The sequence below is a fragment of the Homo sapiens genome, chromosome 6 (genome assembly GCF_000001405.40).
Source record: "Homo sapiens chromosome 6, GRCh38.p14 Primary Assembly".
Taxonomy (NCBI): domain Eukaryota; kingdom Metazoa; phylum Chordata; class Mammalia; order Primates; family Hominidae; genus Homo; species Homo sapiens.
Genome location: NC_000006.12, coordinates 685,602 through 705,768, shown reverse-complemented (window position 1 = coordinate 705,768; position 20,167 = coordinate 685,602). Strand labels below are relative to the sequence as shown.

Sequence of the window (20,167 nt, the reverse complement as noted above, 5' to 3'; positions counted from 1 at the left end):
AAACATGTTTTATAAGGTCAGTATTCTAAATTATTTAGGTTCATTAAATGTTGTGAAACATAACATTCCTAATAATTTAAAATTTTAATATGTAGTTATTAGATTCCTAATCAGGATGTACATACAGATTTCAAACACTTTTGAATAATTAGCTATAATCATTTTACAAAAATAGTCATCATGATGTGTACTTAATTGTATACTTATCATTTGAAGTTTACAAATGCCTACGTAGTATTTCTACATATTTCCAATAGAAGTCTCAATAATGTGTATGTGAATGTATATGTGAATAATTTTTCCAGTATGAATAAGTTTGCATTAAAAGATGGAAAGATTAATAGACTATGGGGCACAACATTTTAAAGTCGTGAGTTTATTCATCCTTGAGTTGTAAAAAGATTAGTTGCGACAATAGCTTGTGCCTGGGACAATTTCTGCCCTCAAGTACTGCTTACATAACTGTGTTTACACATAAGCCTGACCAATAGGACAGACTTTATTCAGTTCTGCTAGAAATTTGCTGATTTAAATATGTTAGAGTGTGCTTGAAAAATAAGCAGGAAAGACAGATTCGTCAGAGTTTTAGTGGCTAGTTTCTCCAACAGAATTTCTTAGGTAACTGACTTGTATCAATCCCAATCGTAAACACTGAGCAAAGAAGACCTGGCACAAAAAATAAAAAGGAGACAAACCTGGATTTTCCATTTATTGTCCACACCTCCCACCATTCAAAATATGTTTTCCTTGTTTTGTTTTTGGAAAATTAATATTTCAATAATAATTTGAATTATCGTGTCTGTACTTTAATAGTGGATTAGCCTAACTTATAGAAAGCAAGAAAGAACGTGTAGAAAAAGGAACATTGCCTGGGGTGTAACAGGCAAATGTCAATATTTGTTGACTTGAAAACAGTTGAGCTTAAATTACTCCAATGTGCATACACAGAAGACCTCTCTGAATTAGTAGCTAGACAATTTGTGTGAAAATAAACCTTTGTTGTAAGTGCTGTCGAGAATTGCACTGCCTCTAGGATCTGTGAAACACAGATTTCTTAGACAGCTTTAAAGAAAAGAATTATTGAATTGTTGTAAACCAAGAAAAGAAAGTAATGTGAAAATTCTGTAAATATAGAAGATGGACTAAATATGTGAAAGACTCCCCTGTTTGATGTGGGAAGCTGACTCGTCTCTTTCTGGAAGAGCATCCTAAATTCTTTGAGAATTAATTTATATTTTATTTCTCTTAAAGCATGCCAAAAACCATTTGAGGGGCAAGGGCTGATACAGCCATGCATTTCATTCCCTTTTTTTTTTTTTTTTGGCTGGGGAATGGGGGCAATATCCTACTTTACATTGTAGGGTTTCTGGCCCGAAAATATGTTTACTAGCAAAATCACTGCCAAAACTGAGAGTCAGTAGTTACCAGCATATTTATGTAAAGCAAGAGCTTAGAAAGCTACATGGCGTTTAGGACTTTTTTTCTGGATACTAATCAGCATCGTGCCTCATCACACAGTGCCTAGTCATCGTTCCACGTGGCAGCGCAAGAGGACCAGTGCTTTGAAGCAATCCAGCATTGTCACCAAGGAAAGCATGGTCTATGAATTCTAGTTCAAAACTGATTTTCCTAAAAAATGAAAACTTCCTTCTCAATGTGTTTAACAAATACATGCTTGCAAACAGGAGGTGACTTAACAGCAGAAACAATTATATTTGAACAAATCCAAAACAAAACAATGTGCAGGAACAAGCAGCAATTACGAGCATTTTCTTTCACAAAATGAAGTCTGCAAAAAGGTTTACCATCCACTGAGGTGGCCTTTCTAGGATTTAATTCTAATTATTTAATTGAAGAGAGATTCTCCATTTGTTCTCAGATAAAACTCTGTTGAAAATCCTCACTAGTCTACAGAGTCCTGAAAAGCTATTGTTTCTCAGAAGGAAAGCAGATACGTGTGCTTAAATCTATCATTCATGTCTGTGCATTCATTTGAGTTCTAATGAATGTTAGTGGAATGAATATGCATCCTGTCAAACATATATATAAACCACAACAATGCTGCAAATCAACACAGACTCACATATCCGGCCTCAGAAAAAAATGTGGCCGAGCTCAGGGAGAATTACTTTATGGAAAAACAGGAATTCAATAAAAATGCAAAATTGAAAATGCAACCCACATATTTAATATTATATTGTTTTCCTCTTTATCACTATACTTCACATCTAACCTATTGTGGTTTGGCTTTCTATGTCCATAACCTAGCCAGGGACAAAAAAGCAACATCATTAGTTCACGGAGCAGAGGCTTTTGGGGAGGTGTAGAAGTAGAAAGGACAGAGGAGCAAAAAGTTATAGAAACAGAAAAGTACCAGCAATCTGCTTTAAGATCAGAGAAAGTAACCAAGTTCCCAGTTTAAAATGGATTGCGCTATAGCTAACACATTTAAAGAATGAAGCACCTGGAAGAAAAAAACCCTTTAACTGAATAGCAGAACAATCAGTGTGATCTACGACCGCTGCTGGTATACAGTTATTTGGAAAAACTCCACTACCACCACCCATATGTCCTGTTCTACGCAGATGGCCAGAGAAAGGCGCCAGAAGAGAAGGCCCCACAGTTCAGCCGAGACTTGCTGCAGAATCGTTGTTTATTAAAAAGTGCAGCCGGGCGCGGTGGCTCACGCCTGTAATCCCAGCACTTTGGGAGGCTGAGGCAGGCAGATCACGAGGTCAGGAAATCAAGACCATCCTGGCTAACATGGTGAAACCCCATCTCTACTAAAAATACAAAAAATTAGCCAGGCTTGGTGGTGGACACCTGTAGTCCCAGCTACTTGGGAGGCTGAGGCAGGAGAATAGCTTGAATCCGGGAGGCAGAGGTTGCAGTGAGCCGAGATTGCACCACTGCACTCTGGCCTGGGCGACAGAGCCAGACTCTCCCACAAAAAAAAAAAAAGAAAGAAAAAAAGAAAAAAAAAGAAAGAAAAAGAAAAGTGCAGTCATGGGATTTTTGAGCTTAAAGGGATTTTTGAGATTCTCCTATCCAACTATCTTACTTTTCAAATGAGACAACTGGAACTCTCAAGAGGTCAAACAATCAGGGTCAGTATCAGGCAGGATCCAGAATGTAAGGTTTGGAATTTTCAATGTAATTTTTTTTTCAAACCAACAGTCCTATAGTCAACTCTTGATTTTTCAGGGGCTGTGGATATTTTCATTTCTTCATTTTTAGTTTCTCACTGCTAAACATTTTTATTATTTTCTTCACCAGGTGTGAAAAAATAAATTCAAACTCAAATTAACTGGCTATGTTCTATGTTCTCATCTTTGTTACAAGGGCTCAGTCAGGAAGAACAAAGGTTCAGACTGTTGGCTAAAGTGTGTCCTGAAAATTATCTTCAATCCTGCATGTACTCCTCGTCCTTTAGTACCACAGAGAGTTCAAAGATGAGCTCACAGGAGGCAACTACCTGCAGGGGGCAGGACATCCAGGGACCTCCACTGGAGTGTGGCCAGGACACAACTGGTGGGCACTCCGGTGCATGCCATCACCTTCAGAAATTATAGTGTGTGCCTGAGAGGGGAACGCAGCTCAGTTGGCATCTTAGGGGAAACCTACCAAACACAAAGGGTGAGAAATCTGCTGTTAAGGAGTGAAAAATATTTTACTGGGTTTGTGCAAAACCAAGGGAGCAATGAAAAACTCAGATAAAATTCATGTCATGTTAGATCAAAAGAAATGAGGTATAAAGACAGGCTTTATACCGCGTTTCATATGCAAGGCGATCCTGATGCTCCTGGGCAGTGGGAAGCCTTCATAAATGAGTGTCAGCAAGGCTCAGATCCTGCAGCAAAGGCCAGAGGCCAGCACCGTGTCTCCCTCCGACGTGCAGCTGCAGCTAGTGCTTCTGCTCCGGGTGGGGTGATATGCCTGGACAGTGGAGGTGCAGAGTGGCAAGCCAGCGGCTGCTGCCCTAAGACTCAGTCCACACTGCACACCATCACATCAGTGGGTAAAACTGGGAAGATGGTGCCATTTCCCATGTCTTTCCTATTACTGCTGACATCACTGACAAAATGCAAATTGGCCTTGTTCCCACTGAATAAAGAGGACCTTCAAATGGAGAATTCCAAAAGACAAGACAAAACAAACAAACCACCCCAAAACAAAAAATCAACCACCCACTCCCAGCTAGCAATTTAAGTTAAAATGCTATCATGCGGTCCGTTAGAAATCCTTCTTTTAGAACATAAAGAGATCTAAATCCTTTTTCACAGAAAATCACATAATTAGGTTATTCCTGCCCTCTGCAGCACAGGGCAGGGCTGGCAGGGCCGGGAGAGAACCCAGGTCCTCACTAAGCACAGACATTTTCACATTCTGACTGAGTTGTTCCCTCTCTCCAGGTACTGGGCTCTCATATCTCTGGCAGTGTGTGCCTCTCCTCAATTTCTCCTTTCCTTCTGGACCACCTACAGACACAGCCCACTGCCAGAGACGCCCAGATATAAACACAGGTGCAAAACACATCTGCATTATTGTGCTGGATGGCAGCACGGCCATATGGTTGGAGTAACACTATTGTAATACCATATCCCTGCTGTAGAACCAGCTTTATTTACAATTTTCTTATTAAAATATGCAAATAGCAAGTAAATAGAAAACCACAGAGCTCTGTTTTGCTGTAAAATTGATTGGAGACGTTTGACTATTTTAAGGACTTTTGATATACAGAGCTCTGAATATAAAAAGCTCTGAAGCCAACATAAAAGAAGATGGTTAAGTCCACTTAAAGGCATTTGCTAGGAGCACACCATAGTACGATTAAGGTTAAAACAAAAGGATGTAAGGGGCTTCCTTAACTAATAGGTCCAATCCAGGAATTGCTAAAACAGAGTTGAAACTTGCAGTCCTGCAGAATTTCAAATTGTCCTGTAATCCTAAAACACAGAAGGCTCCAGCAAAGCATGGCAATGCTGGGTGGTATTTGGTGAAACATCTCAATCGTCCATTTATTGTCAAGATGTGTACATATCAAATTTTGCTGATAATTTTGTGTCTTTAAGTGGCCACTCAGCATATTTTGAACTAGACAACTGGACACAGGCATCTCCTCCAACTCTGTTACTATCACAATGTACTGTATTCTTATTTTTGTTTTTGAGGCAACGCGTATTTGTTGAGCATCTATTATGTGTGAGGCATGGATGAGCATTACAGCATCCCTCCTCTTAAGTTTACATTCTAGTGAGGGGAGAGAAACATTTTTAGAAAACAAATAGATAATACTGTATTTACAGGTTGTGGTGAGTGCTGTTACTGAATGGGCAGCCTGATGTATTGAATAACTGTGCTAGGAAGCTCTGTGGTATCTACAACAGTGAATAAGGCAGGAATCTGCAAGCATGGAGTTGAGAGCCTGTGAATAACAGAAGACCAAATAATCATTAGTCTTCAGTAAAAAGGATGTCTAAGATACAGCAAATTACAGTAGTTTTGAGGGTTAGGTTCTGTACTAATTATGGCTTACCACACACTGATGTGCCACACACTACAGAACACAAAAGGTGTTGATTTAACATTAAAAAAATCTAAGAACAGGGAATTGTGTCTCTCCTAGTACTTCTAAAGACTGTTTGCAAAGGGATTTCATGCTTCAGAGTTATTCTTTCTCTCCAGGTCAAACAAAACCTGAGACAGAATTGAAAACACAAAGCTATGCAACGATATTCAATCGCTCTAACAGCTACCACTGCAATTTTAGGTTTAATGATTTTATTTGCTGCCAACTTCTGCATATACTGCACTAATGTTTGCTAGCTGGCTTTGGAATTAGGACCAGAAATGTAAGAAAAAAGAAAGAAAACACCACCAGTACTCTTTATGTTAACAAAAGAGTCTCTTTCCTATTCTGAGTGTTTTTGTTTCAGGAATACAGTGTTATTTATTTTTTTAATCTGTGTGTTCTCAAGGCCCATACATCCTGGCTTAATGGCAGGATCACCTAACCTGGGAAACGGCAAGTCACCGAGACCCAGAGGGTTTGGTTTCACTGTGAAGGGGGCGTGCCGCTGCCAGGGATTTCTCACTTTATTTTTTTCAAATGCTGCTGCCAAGCCTCAGATTCACATTTCCTAGCTTCCCCCTTGCTCTTTATAATTGATGACGCTGGGGACAGTCAAGTGATTGCATACTGGCTGCACTTCAACACATCCTCTGATAAAAAGGAGAGGAAAATGAAGTCATGCTAGATTCCACATCACTTTTTTGTTCCAGGATGTACTTCCCTAAAAAGTGTGCAATTCAGCACATAGATATTTGAGGCTGGGTGTGGTGGCTCATGCCATGGGAGGACTGCTGGAGCACAGGAGTTCGGGACTAGCCTGGGCAGCACAGCGAGATCCCATTTCTACAAAAAACAGCAACAAAAATTACGCAGGCATGGTGGCACGCATCTGTAGTCCTAGTTACTCTGGAGGCTGAGGAGGAGCATCCCTTAAGCCCAGTAGTTCAAGGCTACAGTGAGCTAGGATCTCACAATTGCAACCCAGCCTGGGTGACAGAGTGAGACCCTGTCTCTAATAACAAATATATATATCTTTGAATTGTAATAAGTATAGGTTGTTTTAGTCTGTGATAATAACAACCTTGACTGGATTCCCCCAGAAGCTGATCCAGGGCTAGCATTTCACTTGGGAGGTGACAGCAGGAAAGAGCAGGAGGGGAGTGGGGAGGCCAGTAAAGGTGTGCTATGGGGCACTTCCCCGAGGGAGACTGGAGCAGCTCCCTGGGACTCTGCCATGCAATGGGGCACGTGCAACCAGCCAAGCTACCCCCGCCAGGGCATTTACACACCAACTCTTTGCCTGCCATTGGCCGAGGCCTTCTTCTGAATTAACTCTCTAGGGCTTCCAGCTTGCTCTGCTCCAAAAAGAAATCCCTCAAGCACAAAGAGAGATGCAGGTGTTCCCAGAAAGCAGCCTTCAGTTGGGGGAATCTGGATGGGCACTGATGGCCTCTGTTACCATCCTGCCTGGTATGGCGGATCCACGGCTACAGATCTCTGTCCTGGCCCTGATTCCTCATGATGGTGTCCAGTCATACTTTACTGGGGGAAAAAACCCACCTCAGGAGGGTCAATAGGTTGGGCTATAATGCCCACTGCTGCAGTTAGTTCTAAGGCTACAGTGATTTTCATCATCTTCTTCCTTAATCACCCGGCTCCGTTCTCTTCACCTGCAGCTAGCACTTCTGTGGCCCAGGCTGCTTCCTCAACGAGGTGACCCAGACCTTCTTCCCTGTGAGGTCTGAGCCCTTGGTTATCATTCCTTGTCAGGCCAGGGTTGCTGCATTGCCAGTTTACTGGTATCACCAGCCAAGGAAAAGATGCCCAGTGAGTCCCCTGCATTCCAGAAATAATCCTCCCTCCCGTTTCCTACTCATAACCAGGACCAAATTTTGTTGCCTGGGATCCATGAGGATCCCAAGTAAGGAGAGGCTTTTAGATTTAGTGAACCCTGTGTCACCCAGGAGAGCATCTTCGGCACATCCCAGGGGCCAGGACCCTGGCTACTGGGGATGCTGCACCATACACTGATATTAGGCTCTGAATATATACTGCATCCCACAGCACAGCTTCCAACTCTGCTGGAGCGTTCGCTGTGCCTTTGTGGGGCCATGCTGATGTCCTATCAGGGTGGCAGTCTGGGGTGTGCGATCTATGGTGGAACCAGTGGAGCTTGCGGTCACGTCCCCTCTGTCTGCCTCTTTCGCTCTTACAAGGGTGCTTGGTCCAAGGTGGTATTATGGGAAATCCTGTGATAAGGCAAGACATTCTGTAAGCAATTGGGTAGTCATGCCTGGAAGGCTCTACAAGCAAGGAAGACAAACCCAAACCCAAACCCAGAATATGCATCTGGGCCTATGGAAATCAACTTGCCACCGAGAGACGGCAGCCACCATACCATGGGCTGCCCATTGGCCTCTACGGCTGGAGAGGGCAGAGGCACTGTCTAGATCTGCCTTTTTCTGTGGGTCCCTGTAGCCTCCAACCCTGTGAATGGCCATTCCATTCACAGGCCCATTGTGCAGAGACTGCCTGACCTGCCCTAGCTGAATCATCCCATTTGCTCTGTGCTCTGCTGCGGATGCTGTCTGCCGGGCAGGCATTTGTGTAAGACACATAGATGGGCCAAATACTGTTTGTGTGAGGAGCATGTGTGAGTTCTTGAGCTGAGAGGCTGTGATATCCACAGCATGGTTATGCAGCTGCTTCCTGGCCACCCTCCTCTCCATCCAGCTCTTATGTTTCTCCAGCAGGTCTCCTACCTTTGGGAATTTCTGCACCAAAAGCAGGCACATACTCTTGGTCACATATAGTCCTGAGGGCAGCCCAACTCCGCCAAGAACTCCACACTGATGCTCAGCTCCACTCTGACAGCAGCAAGCACAGGCTCGTGGGTGCCTCGAGCCAACAGGTACTAACCCAGATTAAAACAGCTGAGTGAATTCCTCATAAGCTCCAAAAGGCATCTAACCCAGATTAAAACAGCTGAGTGAATTCCTCATAAGCTCCAAGAGGCGTCTAACCCAGATTAAAACAGCTGAGTGAATTCCTCATAAGCTTCAAGAGGTGTCTTACCCAATTGCTGGGGGCTTTCTTTTCTTCCTTTTCTTTTTTTTTGACAGCGTCTCACTCCGTAGCCTAGGCTGGAGTGCAGTGGCACAATCTCGGCTCACTGCAACCTCCGCCTCCAGGGTTCAAGTGATTCTCCTGTCTCAGCCTCCCAAGTAGCTGGGACTACAGGCACGTGCAACCACGCCCGGCTAATTTTTTGTATTTTTAGTAGAGACGGCGTTTCACCATGTTAGCCAGGATGGTCTCAACCTCCTGGCCTCATGATCCACCCGCCTTGGCCTCCCAAAGTGCTGGGATTACAAGCATGAGCCACCGCGCCCGGCCAGGGGGCTTTCTCTATAGTGCGGGGAGACTTTAGGGTGACCATATAGCGTCTAAAAGGAACACTTTTGACAGTAAAAAGGGCACTCAATAATTAAGCCTTCATAACAGACACAAATCAGTCATCCCACGCAAAGTGGAACATGTGGTCACCTTAGTTATCTGCCTTCTTTGCCAGTTCAAGTGGCCAATTCCAGGATAACCAGAAAAACCCATCTAAATATCCTGTCACACCAGCTTAAACCCCATGATCCTGTCTGATGTTATTTCTCTGCATAGAACCCGAACTCCTCTGTTCCCTGCTCCATCTTCTGTGTCAAACTCCAATCTCAGCTACAACTAATTTTCTAACTCCCTGCCTGCACTAGAGCAGCCAAAACAACACAAGCAGGCCGACTGGTTCCATTTGAGACTTAAGACCACACATCCCAAGTGGGCATTCTGCCCTGCCTGGCAATCTGGCTACATATCCTTAACAATTCGCCTTACAATGTCTAAGTTAACAATCTCACCCCTTCTCAGTCCTCCCTCGTCCCCACCCCCTGCTCACAGATGATCTTGTTGGTTCCTTTGTTAACACAGAAGCAACCAGAAGAGTATTTTCTCACTTTCTCCTCACCATGTCTACCAACCCACAGCTATAGCTTCACATTCCGCTCACTCTCCTACTACACAGCTCAACTCTGGTGGCTCCTAAGAACAACCTCTGCCCTCGTGCAACAGGTCCTACCCTCTCTTACCTTTCTCAAAGACTTGCTCTGCAGTTGCTCCCTCTCTCCTGCATCAGCGGTTCCCTCTTTACATGTTTTGTTAATAGCTCCCATCTTAAAACAGACTTTTTCCTTGATACCATGCCTCTCTAGCAACTACCGCCCATCTCTGCTCCCTTTGTCACACAACTCCTCAGAGGGGTTGTCAAAGTAGCCAGATGAAAATACAGAACATCCAGTTAAATGTGAATTTCAGATAGTAACAATTTAGTATACGTATGTCCCGTGCAATATTGGGGCCGTACTTTTACTAACAAATACTAAAACTGTGTCTGGAATTGGTAAGTTCTTGGTCTCACTGACTTCAAGAATGAAGCCGCGGACCCTTGCGGTATGTGTTACAGTTCCTAAAGGCGGCGTATCTGGAGTTTGCTCCTTCTGATGTTCAGATGTGTTCGGAGTTTCTTCCTTCTGGTAGGGTCGTGATCTCGCTGGTTCAGGAGTGAAGCTAGAGACCTTCGCGGCGAGAGTTACAGCTCATAGAGGCAGTGTGGACCCAAAGTATAAACAGCAGCCAGATTTACCCCAAAGAGCAAAAAAATAAAACTTCCACAGTGTGGAAAGAAACCGGAGCAAACTACCACTGCCAGCTCGGGCAGGCTGCGTTTATTCTCTTATCTGGCCCCCACCCACATCCTGCTGATGATTGGTCCATTTTACAGAGAGCCGATTGGTCCATTTTACAGAGAGCTGATCGGTCCATTTTGACAGGGTGCTGATTGGTGCGTTTACAATCCCTGAGCTGGACACAAAAGTTCTCCACCTCCCCACGAGATTAGCTAGACACAGATTTTGGACACAAAGGTTCTCCAAGTCCCCACCAGAGTAGCTAGATACAGAGTGTCGATTGGTGCATTCACAAACCCTGAGCTAGACACAGGGTGCGGACTGGTGTGTTTACAAACCTTGAGCTAGATACAGTGTGCCGATTGGTGTATTTATAATCCCTGGGCTAGACATAAAGGTTCTCCAAGTCCCCACCAGACTCAGGAACCCAGCTGGCTTCACCCAGTGGATCCCGACCGGGGCCGCAGGTGGAGCCGCCTGCCAGTCCCGAGCCATGCGCCCACACTCCTCAGCCCTTGGGTGGTCGATGGGACTGGGGGCCGTGAAGCAGGGGGCAGCGCTCGTCGGGGAGGCTCGGGCGCACGGAAGCCCATGGCGGGGGGGGTTGGCTCAGGCACTGCAGGCTGCAGGTCCCCAGCCCTGCCCCGCGGGAAGGCAGCTAAGGCCCGGGGAGAAATTGAGCACAGCAGCTGCTGGCCCAGGTGCTAAGCCCCTCACTGCCCAGGGCCGGCGGGTTGGCTGGCCGCTCCGAGTGCCGGCCCGCTGAGCCCACGCCCACCCAGAACTCGCGCTGGCCCGCAAGTGCCGCACGCAGCCCGGGTTCCCACCAGCGCCTCTCCCTCCACACCTCCCCACAAGCTGAGGGAGCCGGCTCCGGCCTTGGCCAGCCTAGAAAGGGGCTCCCACAGTGCAGCGGTGGGCTGAAGGGCTCCTCAAGCACAGCCAGAGTGGGTGCCAAGGCCGAGGAGGTGCCCAGAGCGAGCGAGGGCTGTGAGGGCTGCCAGCACGCTGTCACCTCTCAAAACAATGTTTTAGTAGAAGTATATCCCATGCAACATTAGTTTAGTGATAAATATATCTATACTACAAATTACTTGTTGTTTATCTGAAATTAAACTTTACTGGGTATTTGTATTTTTATTGCTAAATCTGCCAACCTAGGTTGTTGAAACTTACTTTTTTCCACTTCACTTAATATTCTTTTCACAGTCCACTCTGACGAGATGTAGCTTCCCCACACTCCTTTGAAACTGCTTTTGTCAAGGATGCCAATGACTGGCATATGCCAAACTCAATTGTCTCTGGAGTCTTGGCCTCACAGTACTTCTGAACATTGGCTATCAATTCCTCCTTCCTGAAACTATTTAGCTTCCAGAATCCGCTACCCCCACTTTCCTGATTGTCCTTCCTCCCTGGCCATAGCCCCTGAACCCGAGCTTCCCCCAACCTAGAGCATCCCCTGACCCTAAGTATCCCCCCAACCCTGAGAACCCCCTGACCCCGAGTATCCCCCGACCTCGAGAACTCCCCGACCCCGAGCATCCCCCCAACCCCCAGCATCCCACGACCCCGGGCATCTCCCCCGATCCTGCGCATCCCCTGACCTGGTATGGCGCCCTGACCCAGTGCAGCCCTCAAACCCCTGCAGCCCCCTGACCCCATGCATCCTCCTGACCTAGGGCTGCCCCTGACTCAATGTTGCCCCCGGACCCCAGTGCCTCCTCCTGACCTGAGGCACGCCCCCCAACCTGGTACAGTCCCCTGATTCCAGTGCATCCTTCTGACCCAGTGCTGCCTCCTAACCTGGTGCATCCTCCTTACCCAGTGTGGCCCCCTGGGGATGCACACTCCAGTGCATCCTCCTGACCTGATGCTTCCTCTGGTCTCGGTGCAGCCCCCCTGACCTGGTGCAGCCCTCTGATTCCATGCATTCTCTTGACCTTGTGCATCCCCCTGTTCCGGAGGGGTCCTCTGACCCGATGCAGGGCCCATCGTTGTGAACTGTGGCCCACAAACGCACTATCATCCCACAGTCTCCCTGAGATGACCCGAGGGCACGGGGATGGATGGTGCACCCGGCCTGCCCCTTGAGCTTGTATCCTTCTTTCCCTCCCTCACCGCTTCCCGCCACCGCAAAGACGCCCAGCAAAAACCTCCTACTCGTGTCCATTCAGGCAGCTGGGTCCCTCGGAACCCAAGGCATTCCAGCGTCCACCGCCCACGGCCCCTGCTGACCTCCAGCACCCGCGCCGGTCTCCTCCCCTCCTCTACCCTCCCCTGAAGGCTCCGCCCATCGAGGACTCGGCGCTCGACTGCCAGGCGGATCTACACGCTCGGCGCTCGCGGCGGGCGGAAGTGAGGTGCCGGCGGCTGGCGGCCGCGGAGTCTTCGGCGAGACCTACCGGGCCCTGTCTGTGCCGGCCGTGAGCTGCGGCAGGACGGCTGGAGGTATGTGTGGGAGGCTGGAGGGCCTGGCCGAAGGCCAGCGGGACATGGACGTCAGCTGCACGGAGGTGGCCGCCTGCGGCGTCCGTCCAGGCCTCAGCGGTGAAGGGACAGCCGCGCCCACTGGCGCCGTCGGTCACCTGCGGGGCCCCGCGACCCCCCGCGGTTCCCAGCCCCGCAGCCCCCATCCCCGCCGTCAGCCGCCTGCTGGGCTCCGCGCCCACCCCCGCCAGTTCGCACCCCCGCGGTCCCCACCTGCGCCGGTGAGGGGCGTGGGCTGCAGAGGGCTGACTCCAGGCCCCGCCCGCTGGAGCTGGCCCCAGACTGCGCCGCTTCGCCCTTGCGCAGTTGCCACTCCGTGAGATTTGAGAATTTCTCCGGAAAAGTGAACGCGAGGCGGGTGTTACCTGTCTGCCTAGGCGTGCATCCCGCTCTGGCTGTCCTGAGCGCTTAAAAGGCGCCTGCCGCTGTTGTCAGCGTTTGCGTGCACGTACTTGATCCTCGCGCGGGTGTATGTACGCTGCCGTGTGACCCATTTTACGGATAGGGGAGCGGCGGCTCAGAGTGCTTGAGCAAAGAGCCTGAGGTCCTGTTGTAGCTGCCATTGAGACCTTGCGCGCCGGCTCCAGGTCCGCACACCAGCAGCCTGGAAGCCTGGTGATGCGTAACCCTGTATCCCAAGATTGTTAAGAAAACACTTTAGTAATTCCGAGAAATAGTTCTTGAAAGAACTCGTCTTTGAATGGAAGTAAGTTATTTTTAATCTGCCAAAGGTCAACATACTAATAAGTCTGAGAAATTTTAAGTCTGATGCCTTTATGAATCTGTGAGTAAACTTACAAGGAACACTTAAAAAATATTTTTTCTAAGTTAGCCACACTTTAATTAAATCTTTTTGTGTGCACTATGCAATATTGAAAAGTTACTTCTGAGCTTATGTGGATCTGTCTTCTAATGCATAATAATGTTTTGTTTATGAATGTTAGTATGTACTGGCCCATGCTTTGTGTAACTGACTCCTTTAATGACAAATCAACTGAAAGCCAGAATCTTCTCAAAGATGATTTTTTTGTGCTAAAAGTTGGCGATTCCCAGAGTAGTAATAGAAAGAGGGTGATGTGTGCTTAGTACTTACATGTTCACTTGTTTGTCTAAGTAGAAACTTAATAAATTAAAGCAGAGAAGCAGAGTTCCCCCAGTGTGACTTGGACCAACTCTTGGAAGTTTTAGAAAGTGATCTTTTTTTCTTGTCAAGTATTTAATTTCCTGTATTGAATGCCATTTTGAACTACAGTTGACCCTTGAACAACACTGGGGTTAGGGGTGCCCACGCAGTCAAAAATTTCCATGTAACTTTTGACTTTCCCAGGACTTTACTAATAGCCTACTGTTGACCAGAAGCCTTACTGATACATAAACAGTTGACTTACATGTATTTTGTATGTTATACGTATTATATACTGTATTCTTAAAGTAAGCTGAGAGAGGAAAATGTTAAAATCACAACAAATGTATTTACTCTTCTTTAAATGAAAGTGGAGAATCATGAAGGTTATTATCCCCATAGTCTGCATGAGTAGATTGTGGAGGAGGAAGAAGAGGAGGGATTTTCTCAGGAATGGCAGAGATGGAAGAGATGGAGGAAGTGAAAGGGGAGTGGGAGATGCAGGCACACTCAGTGCAACTTTTGTTGAAAAAATCCGTGTATAAGTGGATCTGTCTCATTCAAACCCATGTTGCTTAAGGGTCAACTGTATTACTTTTCTAAAAGATGGTTATTAACTTGCTAAGTTCTTGGGAGCCCATTATGTAAGAATCATATGGGAAATGAAGTTGGTACTGAAAAAATAGTCTTCTAGCAAAGAACTTTTAATATTTCTAGTGTCAAGCAGCAGCAAGATTAGGCCATACAGGAAGTGCTGGTTACAGAGGTGTCCTCTCAGTTACTTTTCCACTCATTCTCCAGTTTACGCATCTTAATCCAGCCTGGGTTCCTAGTCCAGCGTCTGCCACATAGTAGGTGCTTAAATGTTTATTGAATGGATGAATTTTAGGTCACTGTTGAGAGGATTTTGAAACTGGGAAATAACATTCATTGATCACTCTGCTAAGCGGTGTACTAGGATGTTGATTGTACTCAGATCCTGGGGAATATGTTCTTGGACCTTCTGGACTGCCTGCTGAAATCACATGGTGATAGTGTGGACTTCTAATCATATGCTTTAGAGTATGTTTATATTAGTCAAAAATTATTATTGATATGAATACACAAACTTAAAAGTAATTGTAATGAAATTATGAATCTTTTTTGTATTTTTAAAGACAGAGTCTCACCCTGTTGCCTAGGCTGAAGTACAGTGGCGAGATCTCTGCTCAGTGCAAGCTCTGCCTCCCGGGTTCACGCCATTCTGCCGCCTCAGCCTCCCAAGTAGCTGGGACTACAGGCGCCCGTCACCACGCCCGACTAACTTTTTGTATTTTTAGTAGAGACGGGGTTTCACCGTCGCGATCCTCGTGACGGTGGACCTCGTGATCCACCCACCTCGGCCTCCCAGAGTGCTGGGATTACAGGCGTGAACCCCTGCGCCGGGCCGGGAAATTATGAATCTTAAAGCGATGGGTGACACACGCATCGGCATCCTTCAATCTCAGTTTGTTTATTGATTGAAAGGGGGTCTTGTTCTGTCACCCAGGCTAGAGTGCAGTGGCACAGTCACAACACACTGCAGCCTTGAGCGCCATGATTCCAGAAATCCTTCTACCTCAGCCTCCCAAGTAGCTGGGACTATAGGTGCGTGCCACCGGGTTCGGCTCATTTTAAAAATTATTTGTGGAGGTGAGGTCTTCCTACGTTGCCCAGGCTGGTCTTGAACTCCTGAATGCAAGTGATGCGCTGGCCTCAGCTTCCCAGTGCTGGGACTATAGGTGTGACCCACTGTGCCTGGCTGATCTCAATTTGAAAATCACAGAGTCAAAAGGTATTTTTGGCTTAGGCGTCAAAGCAACTATACACTGGTCCTTGGTCTAATCTGGTCTGCTTCATAGTACTGGCTGAGTTGCTTAGATGCTTTGGACTGTTTCCTTTTTTGTGTATTCAGAGAATACATGCAGTTAGATTATCTCTGAAATCCTTCCTGCCTTGAAATTTTCCAACTCAGTGAATCCTATAACCACCTAGCACTTGTCTTATAGCACTTGTGTTGTGTTAGGGACAATATTATTAATGGTGTTTACATACACCAGTAAAAGACTAAGCTCATTCTGGATCGGGATTAGTTTTAATTATTTTTGTATCTTCCAGTCTTACTGTATGCCTGACACATATATTAAAAATCAAATAATATTAGCCTGGATTCATAAGGGGTATTTTTGCCCTCTCAATTAAAGAATAGCTAAGAACTAAACTCTGTAGTATTGAGTGTAAGTCCAGCAGAAGCTCAGAGGTAGGAAGGATCCGTTGGGGCTAGAGTAATTGGGAAGCTTTGATGATAAGAGCTTGATGAAGGAAGGCGTGTGAACACCTGGGCTGCATACCAGGAGCAAAGGCCCAGGGGCTGGTAAGTGAGTGCATTTTGGATTATGGGTGGAGTGCCTTGACTGACAGGCAGAAGAGTTTGGAACTGATTTGTTAGACAGTTCTTTTTTGTTGTTTGTTTTTCCTGGAAAGTTTTATTAGGCCAGCTCAAAAGCTTCCTGAACATCCTTTACCTTAATTCCCTTGGTAGCATTTCAGATTAAAAATACATCATCCAGTTTGCTTTATTTTTGTTTTTGGGTTTATCAGTTTTTCTATGTAATATTTTCCACAGTAAATCTTGGTGCCAATAATGGAACGAACACTGGACACAGGACTGGGGAAGACTGGATTTCAGCTTAGGAGAAGGTGAGCTGCTCAGGGTGGATCCAGAGAGCTTCAAGACTAGTGCCCGGCACATCTTAAGCACTCAGTGACAAGTGCAGCGTTGAAGGCTTTTTTCCCTTTACTGCTTGCTAACAGTGCCACTTTGCACAAGGCTGCCCCTTCGTTTCATTTGTAAGCATGGATGAATTTTTAAAGGCCTTTTCTCATTTTAAAGGTTTGTGATTTTGGAGGGCATATGATTTAACTTTCATTGTATTATAATTTTAGCAAAAGACAAAACGAGACAAAAGGCCATGTTTGGCTTTAGTTTAATTTTAATGAAAACCCCATGTGAATGATAATGATGTATGTCTCAGCAGGAATCAGAAGTCATGCCAGATAGCTCAAATGAAGAAAGGTGCAGAGGGGATTAGGGAATATACAAGGAGTGGTGAGGAGCAAAGGGAAGCTAACAGTAACCAGAAAGGACAGAAGGAGAAAGTAGGGCTGTCTGGAGGAGGATCCGACTGTTGCCAGAGAAGTAGTGCTGGGGGCTGGAAGAGTAACACCGAACTGCCTCAGTGTTGGAACTGGTCCACTTCTGAAATCCAAAGTGCAGGCCTCCCACTGTTTGCTTATAGTCCCTCAACTTTCTCAGTCTCACTCACCCCCACTGCATCTATCAGGCGCTTCTGTGATCTTCAGTCACTGTCATGCCAGTGTGCTCAGTTGTATCGTTGTTGTTCTGTAGCATCTGCCTGGCAGCTTCTCAGCCTTGGGCAGTCTCAACTCTCTGCCTCCTGTAATGCTTGACCTGAGTTGCTGGGGCCAGCTGGGGAAAATCACAGTATCCAGATCTGTGCCCCTATAAATCCATGGTCACCAGCTCAGCTGGGCCATCAAGGAATCTTCCAGAATTTTCCTCATCAGTACCCGCTTCTTATCTCTGCAGAATGTACTTTTCAGCATTTTCACGCTTTTCGAACCTTTCATCCTTTCACATCATTTACACACACTCTTAGCAAGCGGTCTTGCCACCTACATCATAAATGAAAGAGATGTAAGTGGAGAATCGCAGGGGCTTCCTGCCAAAAACTGTTCCTCCTCCCCAGTCACAGTGGAAGAGGTTGTATTTATGCTAAGACCAATCTCCTACCTGGGCTGTGGATCCCATCTACCCCGCCTTTGTGAGGACTTCACTCAGGTGTTCATGTCTTACTAAAGCCTTCCTTCTGTTGGCCTTTATACATGCTTAGAGACAGACAAGAATAAAGTAAAACAGAAAAAACTAGAATCCTCCCTTGATTTCACATTGCCCTTTTAAAATTCCTCTCTTTTTCACTTTCCTGCCACATTTCTTAAAATAGTTGTTTGTAGCCAACTTCTCACCCATCCCAGTGCTGTCTGGTTTCAGCTACGATCACTCTCCTGAAGGCCAAAGTCATTCTTGAGCTTCTGGTCACAAAATCTTGTTCCTGTCATTTCTTCAGGGTAATGCCTGGGACATAGCAAGTGTATAATAAACATTTATTTGACTGAATAAATCCAAGGATGTTTCCTTTTCACAGCCCTAGTTTTTCTGTTTTTCTGGGGTATAGGAGTCCAATACTGTCATCTTTTGAGGATCTGGGTGACTAGTCATTGTATCGCAAATCATCTTGACGGACTAGGTAAAGATACAAATAAATATTATTTGAGGATAAGTTCAGTGGCTCAGTGCCTGTAATCCCAGCACTTTGAGAGGCCGAGGTGGAAGGATAGCTTGAGCCCAGGAGTTTGAGACCAGCCTGGGCAACATAATGAGGCCCCTTTTCTACAAAAATTAGAAAAAAGTTAGCCGAGTGTGGTGGTACATGTCTGTGGTCCCAGTTACTCAGGAGGCTGAAGTGGGAGGATCACTTGAGCCTGGATCACCTGAGGCTGCAGTGAGCTATGATTGCACCACTGCACTCCAGCAGCCTGGGTGACTGAGTGAGACCCTGTCTCAAAAAAAAAAAAAAAAAAAAAAAGAATATTATTTGATAATGACTTCTTCAATCTTGTTCAGGTGATCTGTCTTTCTGGGAAAATAAAACCCTGACATCTTTTTTTCTGAAAAACTATACTTCCTAAAATACTAAGACTTACTGTTTTTATCTATGCATATAGATCTAATAAGAGTAGTAGGGCATTGGGTACTACTGGCAATAGATTTGTGAATAAATAATGCTGTGCTCTTGTATGAAACTCTTTTGTTTTCCTATTAAGTAGTGTATCTTCTTTGAAGTTTTTGTCTTCATTTATTTGTTGGGGGTGGATGGAGGGGGATGAATTTGCACTGGCCTGGTTCATTTTTGACATGTCATCAATGTCCAGTGGCATCGGTTGGAAGTCCAGTCACCTTTAGACCTGCAGCCTTTCCCTGTGCAACATAGTGACAGTCCTTGTCCTCTAGGAGGAGACATGGCATGCTAAGGCAGAGGGCTTTATGGTTCCTGGGGGAATAAAGCAGACCTCTAAGTAACTTTTCCAATTAAGATAGAATCCAGTGCTTGTTTTATGAGAACAGCTGAGTAATCCGGTATATATATAACAGATCTCTTTTATGGGGGCTCTGAGAGCTAAGTTGTCAGGCATTCCCTATATACTTGTCTGGCTTCCAGTATTCCTTCCTAGTCATCTCATGCACATTCTCGTCCCCTTAATCTCTCACCTCCAAACATTGTAGAGGGAGGGAAGGCCTTTATTCCCATTCCTAAAATAAATAAATAAAAATCAAGTGTCATTTATCAGTTATATGGTTTAAATTATTGGATTATTTTCCCAAAAGAATTAAAATATAAACAAATATGCTTTCATTTGAAACCATAGATAGTAGTTCATGTATTTTTTTGTTTGTAGAGGTAGAGAAGGAAAAGAAGTATAAAAAGAGGTCCAGGAGGCCGGGCGCGGCGGCTCACACCTGTAATCCCAGCACTTTGGGAGGCCGAGGAGGGCGAATCATGAGGTCAGGAGTTTGAGACCATCCTGGCCAATATGATGAAACCCCGTCTCTACTAAAAATACAAAAAAATTAGCTGGGCATGGTGGCGCATGCCTGTAATCCCAGCTACTTGGGAGGCTGAGGCAGGAGAATCGCTTGAACCAAGGAGTCGGAGGTTGCAGTGAGCCCCACTGCACTTCAGCCTAGTGACAGAGTAAAACTCCGTCTCAAAAAAAAAAAAAAGAGGTCCAGGAAAGCAGGATACATTAATACATTACTTCTTACCTGTTCAGTCCAACCTGGCGACAGAGCAAGACTCCGTCTCAAAAAAAAAAAAAAAAAAAAAAAAGAGGTCCAGGAAAGCAGGATACATTACTTCTTACCTGTTCAGTCCTCCCCTTCTGCAAATGGCCCTTCTGAGACCCAGCGAGTCTTCTGCCCTTATCAGGCCGTAACTCTATACAATTTGGCCCCTATGAGTTCTTTCAGATCTGTGCATGCTTGTATTTTTGTTAACTATGATTTGGGGATGGAGCAGGAGGAGCAAGAGGATTAATTTGGAAAACTGGATTACAGAGTTCATGACCCTGTCTCTGAGACTTGTCCCACTGTGTGCT

General features: G+C 45.7%; 1 protein-coding gene across 18 annotated transcripts in view, besides 5 other annotated features; it reads left to right on the top strand.

The window, feature by feature from the left end:
- Window positions 3,919-4,438: an enhancer, noted in NCBI's record as "H3K4me1 hESC enhancer chr6:701331-701850 (GRCh37/hg19 assembly coordinates)". NCBI's record gives its function as "activates a minimal SCP1, AML or CMV promoter by ChIP-STARR-seq in primed H9 embryonic stem cells {active_cell/tissue: H9 hESC(primed)}" and the evidence as "EXISTENCE:reporter gene assay evidence [ECO:0000049][PMID:30033119]".
- Window positions 10,479-10,987: an enhancer, noted in NCBI's record as "H3K27ac-H3K4me1 hESC enhancer chr6:694782-695290 (GRCh37/hg19 assembly coordinates)". NCBI's record gives its function as "activates a minimal SCP1, AML or CMV promoter by ChIP-STARR-seq in primed H9 embryonic stem cells {active_cell/tissue: H9 hESC(primed)}" and the evidence as "EXISTENCE:reporter gene assay evidence [ECO:0000049][PMID:30033119]".
- Window positions 12,417-13,303: an enhancer, noted in NCBI's record as "H3K27ac-H3K4me1 hESC enhancer chr6:692466-693352 (GRCh37/hg19 assembly coordinates)". NCBI's record gives its function as "activates a minimal SCP1, AML or CMV promoter by ChIP-STARR-seq in naive H9 embryonic stem cells {active_cell/tissue: H9 hESC(naive)}" and the evidence as "EXISTENCE:reporter gene assay evidence [ECO:0000049][PMID:30033119]".
- EXOC2 (exocyst complex component 2) overlaps window positions 12,630-20,167 on the top strand; it is a 207,986-nt gene continuing 200,448 nt past the window's right edge. For 8 of the 18 annotated variants that reach the window (XM_017011022.2, XM_017011023.2, NM_018303.6 and 5 more), the window contains exon 1: window positions 12,630-12,750. The gene's annotated coding sequence lies outside the window, so the exon portion shown is untranslated. Of the gene's footprint in view, window positions 13,496-16,556; window positions 16,631-20,167 lie in introns of all 18 variants that reach the window. The other 10 variants (NR_073064.2, XM_047419008.1, XM_017011024.2 and 7 more) reach the window with 3 other exon arrangements.
- Window positions 12,871-12,930: a silencer, noted in NCBI's record as "silent region_16817". NCBI's record gives its function as "represses an Ori minimal core promoter by ATAC-STARR-seq in GM12878 lymphoblastoid cells {active_cell/tissue: GM12878}" and the evidence as "EXISTENCE:reporter gene assay evidence [ECO:0000049][PMID:35858748]".
- Window positions 12,941-13,010: a silencer, noted in NCBI's record as "silent region_16816". NCBI's record gives its function as "represses an Ori minimal core promoter by ATAC-STARR-seq in GM12878 lymphoblastoid cells {active_cell/tissue: GM12878}" and the evidence as "EXISTENCE:reporter gene assay evidence [ECO:0000049][PMID:35858748]".